Source organism: Homo sapiens, chromosome 11 (assembly GCF_000001405.40).
Source record: "Homo sapiens chromosome 11, GRCh38.p14 Primary Assembly".
In the NCBI taxonomy this organism is placed as follows: Eukaryota; Metazoa; Chordata; class Mammalia; order Primates; family Hominidae; genus Homo; species Homo sapiens.
In genome coordinates this window covers 36587608-36600033 of record NC_000011.10, presented here as the reverse complement: position 1 = coordinate 36600033, position 12426 = coordinate 36587608, and the positions used below count along the sequence as shown (strand labels likewise).

The window sequence follows — 12426 nt, the reverse complement described above, 5'->3', positions numbered from 1 at the left end:
ACAACTAACCCATTCAGCAACTAATTGTTATGCTAAAAATTGCCTGTTTTTTGATGTTAGTAAAATCCAAAGGCTAAAACACATCTAAATCTATCCATGGTTTCTATTTTTGCATTTCTTATTTTGTATTTACAGTGAAGACATCCAATATATCAATTTTATGACAGTTGTCCTTATGGTTGCTGTAATTTCAAGTATCTTAATCATTATACAACACTTTATATAACACATAAATAGGTTAGGGAAATAACCCAATATCCTTTTGCAGATTAAAAAAATCATCACAGAAGGAACTAGAAGAGATGACGATGCTTTTTTAAGGATGGATCGACATTTCAAATGATGAGAATCAACCAATCAACTGAGCTACATACATCTGTTTAAAAAAAAATCAACCCTGAAAATATACACTAAAATTTTGCAAAAAATTAGTCACTTATGCAAATATATTTAGGTAATATATGTACATCTTCATCATTAGGTAAGATTTACTATGTACATTCTATAGACATTTTAATCCATTAATCCTTACAATAAGGTAGTTATTATTGCCATTTTAGAGATAAGAAAACTGACACTCAAAAAGGTCACAGAACTGAAACTCAAACCCAGATTTGCCTAGCTCTGATCATTACATTTTATCATCTAAGCCATATGGAAACTGATCAAATGACCAACAATAGTGGAAGGTTAGGTAAATTAGGTTGCATTTAGAAATTATGCTACTATTAGAAATTATAGGCTGGGCGAGGTGGCTCACTCCTGTAATCCCAGCACTTTGGGAGGCCAAGGCAGGTGGGTCACCCAAGGTCAGGAGTTTGAGACCAGCCTGGCCAACATGGCAAAACCCCATCTCCACTAAAAATACAAAAATTAGCTGGGTGTGGTGGCGTGTGCCTGTAATCCCAGCTATTCGGGAGGCTGAGGTAGGAGAATCGCTTGAACCTGGGTAGCAGAGGTTGCAGTGAGCCAAGATCGTACCACTGCACTCCAGCCTGGGAGACAGAGCGGGACTCCATCTCAAAAAAAAGAAAATAAAAGAAATTATAAAGGTAGTTTTTGCTATCAAGATCACTATGGAATATTAAACTCTTCCTTGGCTGAACACTTTGCATACATTATCTCATTTAATCTTTTCCCGACAACTTTTTGAAGTAAATATTTCTATTATCCTCATTTCAGAGACAGAGAAACAGAGGCTTAAGGATTAAGATGACTCTACCTGAAAAACAGAGGCTTAAGGATTAAGATGACTCTACTACCTGAAAAATAGCAGAGCTGGCAAAGAAAACCAGGTGAGCTTGACCCCAAAAGCCCATTTTCTTAATCATTACACTGTATTATTACTCAGTAGCTGCCTGATATAAAGTTGGTAGAGGGCCTCGAATAATTACAACTCCTTCCTTCTGAGCCTTGCATTAAAGAAAATGAGACCACAAAAGAGTACCTCAAAGTTAAAATGAATAGCACTGGTATTAGTGGTCTCTGCTTCAGGACAAATACTTTCTCATTTGATTCAAAATAGTGTTTATTTAAACCATAGAAACTATATGTATTTCTTCTGTGTTTTTCTAAAATGTTCTTAATTTTTAAAAATCAAGTTTTGCCCAGATTTCTTTTTATCTGTACAAATAGTGAATTGTGTTGCCATTGTTGCTAGTAGTGAAAGAGTTAAATCCTGAGGGTACACCCTGTTGGGTATCTCCCTCAACCATCTAAAGAAAGAAAAAAAAAGGTCACAGTCAGTTACTCCCATTAGATCAGTGTTCATAAGAACATCTGTAGGCACACATACACACTCTCTTTACAGTCAGCCTTCTGCTTGCCACAGTCATAGTGGGCAGTCAGTGAATCTTCCCCAAGTGCTGACAATTAATACCTGGTTTAGCGGCAAAGATTCAGAGAGGCGTGAGCAGCCCCTCTGGCCTTCAGGTAGGTCTGATACCTTCATTTCTACCAAAGCTAAAAAATGGGAGCCTATGTTAGTAAACTTTAAGGGAATGAAGATGCCACATTTTGGCAGTGTGTTAGTCACAAGTGGATTTGGTGTCTAGATAGGGAAGGGATGAGTAGAATTTGGAAAATGTGGGGCTTTCTGTTCTCTGGCTGCTTCAGGGATTTAATTATTAGGCCTTTAGAGCACTATTATTAATCTTCGTACATAAATCGTTCTCTGGCCTAAGACAGGAAGGAAGACCTAATCCTGGTTTTACTGCCAGCAGAAATAAAATAATATATGCCTCAAACCTGATTAACAGTGCAAGATACTGTTATTCACACATTAAATGCCTGAAGTTACTTACATGAGGTTACTTGCTACTCTGGAGCAATCAAGAAAACATGGCCAGCACGGATCAGCAAGATTTAATGTTTCACAGTACAGTATCTTTCTTTGGAAAAGAAAAAGTCAGTTCAGATATTAGGAACTATAAACCCAGACCTCATACTATGAGTCCTTTCATTATACTCAACTATGCCCTAGCATCAGAGAGAATAAATGAAAATCTCCCTGCTGAAGAATGTTAGCATGGGGTTGGGAAAATTGTATATATTTATTGGTCCTATATTTCTGTCCTTTACAAAGAATCTTTAATGTGTTGACCTTGAAGCCTCCCTCAGCTGAAGAACAGGATCTTATTCTTTTAAATCTGCCTGTTTTTATGTAGCCTATTAAAAGGAAAAGACTTCAGTAGGTTATTTTAGATATAGTATAATCATTTAAAAACTCTTTTTAAAAACCAAGGTGTGACTAATACAGTCATATTGAAACTATGGAAGAGATACAATGGTCTACTCCAGTGAAAAATATATTCAAGTTGATAAAGCAAAATTTCAAAAACCAAATGTGGCAAAATCATGTGAAAACACTTTCAATGTTCCTGTTTATTCTTTAAATGCATACATCATCTGGTTAAAGTGAGTAATCTAAAAATTAATTACTCACACTTGAACCATGTTACAAGAGGAGGTAATTCATCTTAGCAATAAGAAACTTTACCACTGTTTTTAGGGCCTTGAAATTATGAAATGAGCCAAAAGCAGAGCATCAAAGGGAAAACAGGTCAAAAGCCCTGTTTCAAAAATCTTTAGGGGCCTAGACTAAGCTACAAAAATGGACAATCCTCCTTATGTCTTGCCCAAGAAAATGTTTCTGTGTAATCTACAATAATCATGTTTTCACTTACGAGAAGCCACAATTCCTACAGCAACCTTAAAATGAAACCAAGAGGCGACAATAAAAACATTGCTTTAAAACAACTGTTCTTGAAAAATCCCTTTGGATCTGGAATCCATTACCACTGTATGGCTTGCCTTGTATCTCAATAACAGTCATCACAGGTGTTTGAAACAAGCAGGCCTTGGCTTTGGTGTTCCCCCCACCCAAAATGGGACAACTCTCTGATCATAATCACTCAGGCTGAGTGTAATCACCTACAGTTTTCTGAAGTGAGGGTCAATAATGTCTCCTTTTAGTTTCTATGAATAGCATTTTTCATAGTTGCTCAGATGCCTTCCCTCATGTAGGCTTGGGTAGGCCATGATATAAATAAAACACTGCCTAGATTATTTTATAAGCAGGGCAGTTTGCTGAATATACAACTGAGGGAGACAGGCTTGTTTTCATAACTTTGATAATAATCCTTCTGAGACACCATTTCCTCACCTGCTTTAATAACCCACCAGATAATTGTTGAAAGATCACCCCCTTACGAGTCTCCCAAGTAGACTGAAAATAATAACTACAAGAGATTATTTAGCAGTAAATTACAGCTGATCTACAGAAGTTCTTTAAAGCAAAAAAAAAAAAAAACAAAAAAAAAACACTACCATCTCATTAGAGTGACCAGAGATTCTAAATAGTCCAAGGAATCTTTGCAGGAGGAATAAAGATAAATTAGATAAATTATAGTATCAATTAACATTTATTGAGTGTTTATGTGCCAGGCACTGTTCTATGTGATTTACACGTGCTATCCCATTTATTTCTCAAAACAGCCCAGTGAATATATACCAAGATTATCCCCAGTTAGACAAAGGGTGACAAGAAGAATAAAATATTAACTATCTTCTGTTAATAAATTAACTACTACCAGCACCCTCATCATATATGTTTATCCAATTCTTTTAGTTCAAATGTTTATCTGTCTATACCCACTGACCTGATTCCCATATCCTAAAGCCCCTTCTCATCCTCTCCAACCTTATCAACTGCCATTACTGGCAGGTGCGTATGCACTAGACCTTATTTTTGGTAAATTTTAAAATAATCATAACTATCGTCTACTATATGCAAATCCCTGTTCTAAGTACTTTACGTATATTCAACTATTAATCATAACTGACATCAATATATGAGGTTGGTAAAATTATTATCTCAGTTTTCAGATGAGGAAACTGAGGCACACAGAGGTTACATAACTTGCCCAAAGTCATGTAGTTAGTGGCAGAGCCAGGATTTGAATCCAGCCAGTAAGCATTCAGAGTCCACACTCAGCCATTGTTTATACTGCTTTTGAAGCATATTAAGAATTAACTCTTAAAAGTCAAGAAATCTGTGCTATGTTTTGTTTCCTTTAACATTTGGTGCACAGGACATCACACTGCAAACACGGAGTGTATTCCACAACTCTCTAAGGTAAACAATAATAAAATAGAAATTTATCAAGCTTCCTTCATCTAGTAAATATTCTTTTTGTTGTAACACAAGTATGAAATTCTGAATAATTCAAACACTTCTATGCTTAGTCCCTGCTTACTTACTACAGAATTATTAAAGAATTACCCAAAAGTTCTTGGACTGGAAAGATGTGAAAAAGCCACTAACTCTATTTTCCTAGAATGAAGATGAAAAGAAGATGTGTTTAGGAACCTTCTCTGCTTCCCTAAAAGAACCCTAAAAACAGGAGTAAAAACAGTGAAGAAAACAAAGGACCTTCAAAGTGCACTCGTTAAAACCTAATAACTGTATTTCTATTACTAAATGTAGAAGTGGTAAACATCTTTAACAGGCAATGTCTCCCCTGCACTCTAGGGATTCAAAGATCCATCTTTCGGTTCTGTAAGACAGTCACGGCTTTTGTAACCTCGGTGCCCCCTTCAACCTCCCGCCCCAAGCACCTCCAGGGTCGTCAGGGGTGTAGTTTTGAGTCGCGCTCCTAAGCATCCAGACAGGCAGGACACCGTAACGACATCTCTGCCGGGAGTCCCTTCAGACTGCGGTCTCCAGGTAACCGCACTCCAACAGAAGCAGTTGTGCTTCCTATCGGGTCACCTGTTCAAAAGTCCCCAGGAGAGGCTCCAGCAATACCAGGGTAGCGGTTTGCCCGACACCGCTCCGGGCGCTGCAGCCTTCCGGCAACCCGGACGTTGGGTCGGTGTCAGCCACTCTCACCTCCCATTCCCTAGTTTTCCTCCTTTGCTCCCGTCTAGTCACTTCGCACCTTCGGCTAGTCTTTATTCACAGACACATTCCAGGAGTCCCCTCTCCCAGAGCAACAAAGACAGATTTCCAAAGCTACACATCCCAGAGAGAACGGATTCTTGGGAAATGTGGTTCTTTCAGCTGACGCATGGTGACTCTTTACGGAAAAGGACTACAATTCCCAGAAATCCTAGGGAGCATATAGTCCGTGGCTAAAACATGTCCCAGCTCCTTGGATGGAATGGCAGTAAAGGTTCTGTGGCTCTTTACTGACCTAACTCCTTGGATTTTCCTCATTCAGTCCCACTGCAAGCGTGTGGGAGGACTTAAAAAAATGCTATTCACATGTGAAGGAATCTAAATACGATGATTATATGAAGCGATCTCTAAGTCATTTTATTTTATAATTCTTTCAGACAAAAATCTACGTACCATCAGAAACTATGTCTCTGCAGATGGTAACAGTCAGTAATAACATAGCCTTAATTCAGCCAGGCTTCTCACTGATGAATTTTGATGGACAAGTTTTCTTCTTTGGACAAAAAGGCTGGCCCAAAAGATCCTGCCCCACTGGAGTTTTCCATCTGGATGTAAAGCATAACCATGTCAAACTGAAGCCTACAATTTTCTCTAAGGATTCCTGCTACCTCCCTCCTCTTCGCTACCCAGCCACTTGCACATTCAAAGGCAGCTTGGAGTCTGAAAAGCATCAATACATCATCCATGGAGGGAAAACACCAAACAATGAGGTTTCAGATAAGATTTATGTCATGTCTATTGTTTGCAAGAACAACAAAAAGGTTACTTTTCGCTGCACAGAGAAAGACTTGGTAGGAGATGTTCCTGAAGCCAGATATGGTCATTCCATTAATGTGGTGTACAGCCGAGGGAAAAGTATGGGTGTTCTCTTTGGAGGACGCTCATACATGCCTTCTACCCACAGAACCACAGAAAAATGGAATAGTGTAGCTGACTGCCTGCCCTGTGTTTTCCTGGTGGATTTTGAATTTGGGTGTGCTACATCATACATTCTTCCAGAACTTCAGGATGGGCTATCTTTTCATGTCTCTATTGCCAAAAATGACACCATCTATATTTTAGGAGGACATTCACTTGCCAATAATATCCGGCCTGCCAACCTGTACAGAATAAGGGTTGATCTTCCCCTGGGTAGCCCAGCTGTGAATTGCACAGTCTTGCCAGGAGGAATCTCTGTCTCCAGTGCAATCCTGACTCAAACTAACAATGATGAATTTGTTATTGTTGGTGGCTATCAGCTTGAAAATCAAAAAAGAATGATCTGCAACATCATCTCTTTAGAGGACAACAAGATAGAAATTCGTGAGATGGAGACCCCAGATTGGACCCCAGACATTAAGCACAGCAAGATATGGTTTGGAAGCAACATGGGAAATGGAACTGTTTTTCTTGGCATACCAGGAGACAATAAACAAGTTGTTTCAGAAGGATTCTATTTCTATATGTTGAAATGTGCTGAAGATGATACTAATGAAGAGCAGACAACATTCACAAACAGTCAAACATCAACAGAAGATCCAGGGGATTCCACTCCCTTTGAAGACTCTGAAGAATTTTGTTTCAGTGCAGAAGCAAATAGTTTTGATGGTGATGATGAATTTGACACCTATAATGAAGATGATGAAGAAGATGAGTCTGAGACAGGCTACTGGATTACATGCTGCCCTACTTGTGATGTGGATATCAACACTTGGGTACCATTCTATTCAACTGAGCTCAACAAACCCGCCATGATCTACTGCTCTCATGGGGATGGGCACTGGGTCCATGCTCAGTGCATGGATCTGGCAGAACGCACACTCATCCATCTGTCAGCAGGAAGCAACAAGTATTACTGCAATGAGCATGTGGAGATAGCAAGAGCTCTACACACTCCCCAAAGAGTCCTACCCTTAAAAAAGCCTCCAATGAAATCCCTCCGTAAAAAAGGTTCTGGAAAAATCTTGACTCCTGCCAAGAAATCCTTTCTTAGAAGGTTGTTTGATTAGTTTTGCAAAAGCCTTTCAGATTCAGGTGTATGGAATTTTTGAATCTATTTTTAAAATCATAACATTGATTTTAAAAATACATTTTTGTTTATTTAAAATGCCTATGTTTTCTTTTAGTTACATGAATTAAGGGCCAGAAAAAAGTGTTTATAATGCAATGATAAATAAAGTCATTCTAGACCCTATACATTTTGAAAATATTTTACCCAAATACTCAATTTACTAATTTATTCTTCACTGAGGATTTCTGATCTGATTTTTTATTCAACAAACCTTAAACACCCAGAAGCAGTAATAATCATCGAGGTATGTTTATATTTATTATATAAGTCTTGGTAACAAATAACCTATAAAGTGTTTATGACAAATTTAGCCAATAAAGAAATTAACACCCAAAAGAATTAAATTGATTATTTTGTGCAACATAACAATTCGGCAGTTGGCCAAAACTTAAAAGCAAGATCTACTACATCCCACATTAGTGTTCTTTATATACCTTCAAGCAACCCTTTGGATTATGCCCATGAACAAGTTAGTTTCTCATAGCTTTACAGATGTAGATATAAATATAAATATATGTATACATATAGATAGATAATGTTCTCCACTGACACAAAAGAAGAAATAAATAATCTACATCAAGTTTGACATGTTTTCCTGAATTACTTGTATGCATTTTCTTTAAGGATTTCCCCTCCCCATTATATGATGCATGAATGATGTGCCAAAGTCAGTCATTTGAACTAATTATTTGTGAGAATTTTCATGGAAAACTGGAGCCCATTGCTACTTAGTACTCTGGAAAAAGGAAGTGAGTAAGAATACAATAAGAAAGGACCACCAAATAAATCTCATGGAGAAGAATAATATTATTTCCCAAAATAATGTAAGTTTAAAGAATTTCATGACATTTACAGGCAGAAGATTTAAATGGAGGAAAAGAAATGTATTTGTGTGAGTGTGTGTGTGTGTGTGTGTGTGTGTGTAGTTAACATGTGGAGATTGCTGCCAGTGAATATTATAAAATCAGTGATCTTGCCAAGGTCTAATTAGACACTCGCTAGGATGAAACTAGTTAAAATGACTGTTAATTTTAAGGGTTCAAGACATCAGTTGATAACTAGATGACCTTAGAAACAAATGTCTTTCCTCCTGAAATATTTTCCGGAAAAAAAAATTTTCTGGAAAAACCTTATCTTAAGAGCTTCAGCCACAGTTACAGTGAAGACTCTTACTCCTCACTGAAAGTCTACAGTGTGTAAGGTACAACTAACAAATTTACGGGAAACATGAATTATGCAAGAGATGAAACGCTGGAGTACAAGTTCTTCTGCTGAAAGTTCCATGTCCCCAGATACTGAAATTAACTTTGATAAACTGAATCATATTCACTCTGTTTCAATAATGTTGCTCGCTGAATATTCCTGTTGAACAATTGTTGCACATTGATTTGATCTTTTGTTGTTTCCATCACCTATATAAAAATAATAAAATATAAAAATCTTCTATTTATATTGATTTACTCTAATTATTAAGATATGTTACCTAAATAACGGCAAAATTAAACTAATTTTTTCAGGATCACTCCACTTTGATTTTTTTTTCTATTTGTTAGTAGAAAATGGCACAAGTTGGAGCGAAAATATCCTTTACAGAGTCCAAAAGTGAAATTTCCCCAAGGAGTAGGTATATTCTCTCTTCTTGATTTGTCTGCAGTGATTTGGTGGCTAAAGAATTATTACCACATATTTATTTTGTAGCCAATGAGATCCAGATATGGTAATCTAAGTGATTCAGTTGTGAACTCACTGAATTTCATAGTCAAACTCAGATCTCACCAGTATAGCTGCTTTTGGGGGAGGGTGTGTGTGTGCGTGTGTGTGTGTGTGTGTGTTTCAAGAGCATGCAGATTGGTTATACAGATTATATATTTGAGTACAATTAAGTCTTTTTTATGTCATCTCAGCAATCAGTTTATTCGATGTGACTTTAAGATAACGGTCACTGCTTTTCAAATAAGCTGATGCAAACATTCAAATGAGCCGTGTTAGAAGAGCAGACACCTATTTCAACAATATTGCCTTTGCCTAAAATGTTTCAGGGACTCACATTTCAATCAATCACCTTCAGAATCCATGATTCATTCCCTTGAAGATGTTCAACAGCTGTACCTCTTTCTTCATTAAAGATGGATTTAATTTCTGGAAACAGACAAGTGTCATTTGAAATCTAGCAGAGTGAGATTTTCAGTATTACACTACCACTTTAGGTCAAAAACAAAGTGTGAATACAAGCTAACAAAATGGATTTTCTGATATGGCTTATGAATGGGTTTTAAAGGAAAGTCTCAAAATTGTTTGCACAAGACTACAGGAGTAGTATCAAGAAATAAGTATATGACTTCCCAGGGTAATCATTTTAGGGGACTATACACATCTCTAAGTACAGGTGAGTTCAATGTGTTAGGGGAAAGGGAAAGTGTAAAGAAAAAGAAATTGTTATTCCAAAGGCTCTGGGGAGAGATGAAGCTTGCTACTTTTGAAGAACTGAAAGGTCAGCCTGGTTAAAACACAGTAAACAAGTAGGGGTGGAATGGCATGAGCCCAGAGAGGCAGGCAGGGGCCAGGGATCCAATTTTTCATCAGTAAAATAAAATCATATTCTGCTCTGCCCATATAGTAAGCAGTTATAAGGGCCAAGCACATTATTATAAACTGAAAAATAATGTATACTCTTGTTATACTTGTGTTCAAAAACATAGTTTCATTATTCTCTATCATTGTGAAATAAATCCAGACACTCTGAGTAAAAATTATTTAAGAGGGTATTTGCCAGAGATTTTACCATAATAAACATACATAATACACATTCCAACTGACAAATACAAAATCTAGATGACACATCGTCAAGGACTACATAAAAATATTTTAGGTAGCCTGATGGGAGGAAGACTAATGGTCTTGAATTATGGTTAATAAGAGGATTAATAAAACAATCTAGATTAGAAGATATAATTGATGGTATGTGATCTCATCTTGCATTGAAAGTCAAATTATAAGATCAGATTTGTCAGAAATAATACTCTTTTTGGTAGACCATAAATTGATAAAACGAAGAACTTGAAGTTTGGTAAAGAGATAAATCACTCATTTAGCATAGTATGAACGGTCCATTGACCTGTTCCCTCCTGGCTTATTTCTTAGCCCCACTACTCACTTCGCACTTTATACTCAATTTCCAAAATGCCAAACTGATAACACTCCTAGTGAGTACCCCTGGTTGTTTCAAACCCCAGGGCCTTTGAGCAAGCTGTTCCTTCTGCAGAGAATACTTTCCCTCTTGCACTTTGCAGCTCCTGCTAATGCCCTGGTCCATCTGGCCCAGTTCTATTCACTCTTTACATCCTAGTTTAGATACCTCCTCCCTCTAGAAGCCTTCTCTGAACCCACTATCTTTTACAGCTTACATACTCAGGGTGCAAGAAATAAACCTGGCTGTATTTTTCTCTAACTCAGCTTACATTGTATTATGCATCTCTTTGACTGTATGCTGGAAATACAATTTCAACAATTTTAGAGTTCTACCTATTTTTACCCAACCTTTCATCCAAGTTCCAGGGAGAAATATAATGCTGAGTTGTCAGGAGAGGGGTGAGGAAGGGTGAAGTGTCTGGTCCTTAGGGTCATCATTCCTCCTCATTAACTTCAGCTACAACATCCATTGCCATTATCAGACTTGGAGGATGATCCTGAATTGCAGCCCAGTCTTCACTGCAAGTCGTCCTTATGTCTAGCCCTCTCTATGCTGCTTTCTGGGTCTCTGGTGGGCTCACATGATGACAAGGAGATCATTCAGCCTCTTCCTTTCCCAGCATGGCCAAATGGTCTCTTTGGGACCATCTAGGAAATTGTCTATTTCTGTACCTTTCTTGGGCACATCTTACTACTCTTGCAGCTTTCTGGACCACAGATTCTCGTCCGAACTATCACTGGCTAAACACACATCACTACCATTTCACCTCTGGATGTTACTGCTTTCCTGGGCCCTATCACGGAAGTAAGATGCACATCCTCACTGCTCCTGACTCCCAGAAACTAATCTGGGATTCCTATTGCTCTCCCCAACTCCACAGCTCAGCCCAAGGTATATTGTACAAAGAGTTCTTTTCCCTGGGACCCACATTGTCTACTCACTCCATCTTTGTCTCGAATTCACTTCTCAAAAATCTTTATCTAGGTATGGAAACAGTTTCTTGTCATCATGCTTACCAAATGCATATTTATTGCATGAAAGAATGAATACTGAATGACTGAGGGCATGACAGAATAGCTCTTACTCATCAGATACTCTTCAAAACATAATGCTAATATTTTCCATTTCCCCATGAAGCATAGACTATTTTTTCTTTTTCTTTTTTTTTCTTTTTCTTTCTTCTTTTTAGATTTCTTTTATTTAGAGATGGAGTATCACTCTGTCACACAAGGCTAGAGTTCAGTGGCACCATCATGGCTTTCTGCAACCTCTAACTCCTGGGCTCAAGAAATCCTCTGACCTCAGCTCCCGAGTAGCTAGAGCTTCAGGTGCATACCACCATACCCAGCTAATAGTTTTATTTTTTGCAGAGATGGGGTCTCCATATCTTCCCTAGGCTAATCTTGAACTCGTGGCCTCAAGCAATCCTCCTGTCTCAGACTCCCAAAGTACTAGGGTTATGGGAATAAGCCAATGCACCAGCTCCCAAAGCATAGACTTTTCACACTCAAATCTTGAATAAAAGAAAGATCTAGGAGGAAAACTAGTCAAGTACTATCTCACAGTATTATATAACACAGGGTCCATCACATCCTCCCTGGTACTGCTTCAACATCTTGTAATTATTTCTGTTGTTACACCTAAATGAGTAAAAAAGTACTACTTGGTAAGTATTCTAAGTGTCTGACTCTTCTAAACAACTATGCATTTCATGAGGACTAGAAC

The 12426-nt window shown here is 37.8% G+C and overlaps 2 protein-coding genes across 18 annotated transcripts in view, besides 1 other annotated feature; one reads left to right on the top strand and one right to left on the bottom strand.

Annotated features, from left to right (window-relative positions):
• Positions 1–5532, bottom strand: part of IFTAP (intraflagellar transport associated protein) — a 64771-nt gene extending 59239 nt beyond the window's left edge. For 3 of the 13 annotated variants that reach the window (NR_077243.2, NM_001276722.2, NM_001276725.2), the window contains exon 1: positions 5273–5532. The gene's annotated coding sequence lies outside the window, so the exon portion shown is untranslated. Of the gene's footprint in view, positions 1–2303; positions 2391–5118; positions 5219–5272 lie in introns of those variants that run through there. The other 10 variants (XM_011519885.4, XM_047426343.1, NM_001276723.2 and 7 more) reach the window with 6 other exon arrangements.
• Positions 1798–9038, top strand: RAG2 (recombination activating 2). Of its 5 annotated transcripts, none has more exons than NM_001243785.2 (3): positions 1798–1932; positions 5033–5227; positions 5839–8091. In NM_001243785.2, exon 3 carries the CDS (start codon positions 5866–5868, stop codon positions 7447–7449), a length of 1584 nt encoding a protein of 527 aa, NP_001230714.1. In that variant the 5' UTR covers positions 1798–1932; positions 5033–5227; positions 5839–5865; the 3' UTR covers positions 7450–8091. The 5 variants fall into 5 exon arrangements, with proteins under 5 accessions (NP_001230714.1, NP_001230715.1, XP_047283341.1 ...); NM_001243786.2 differs by having other exon boundaries at positions 4839–5227; XM_047427385.1 differs by having other exon boundaries at positions 4839–9038.
• Positions 5486–5625: an enhancer, noted in NCBI's record as "active region_4634". NCBI's record gives its function as "activates an Ori minimal core promoter by ATAC-STARR-seq in GM12878 lymphoblastoid cells {active_cell/tissue: GM12878}" and the evidence as "EXISTENCE:reporter gene assay evidence [ECO:0000049][PMID:35858748]".

What these genes read in the sequence shown, in the direction of transcription:
- RAG2 (XM_047427385.1), top strand. Translation starts at nt 5,866, where the DNA reads ATGTCTCTGCAGATGGTAACAGTCAGTAATAACATAGCCTTAATTCAG.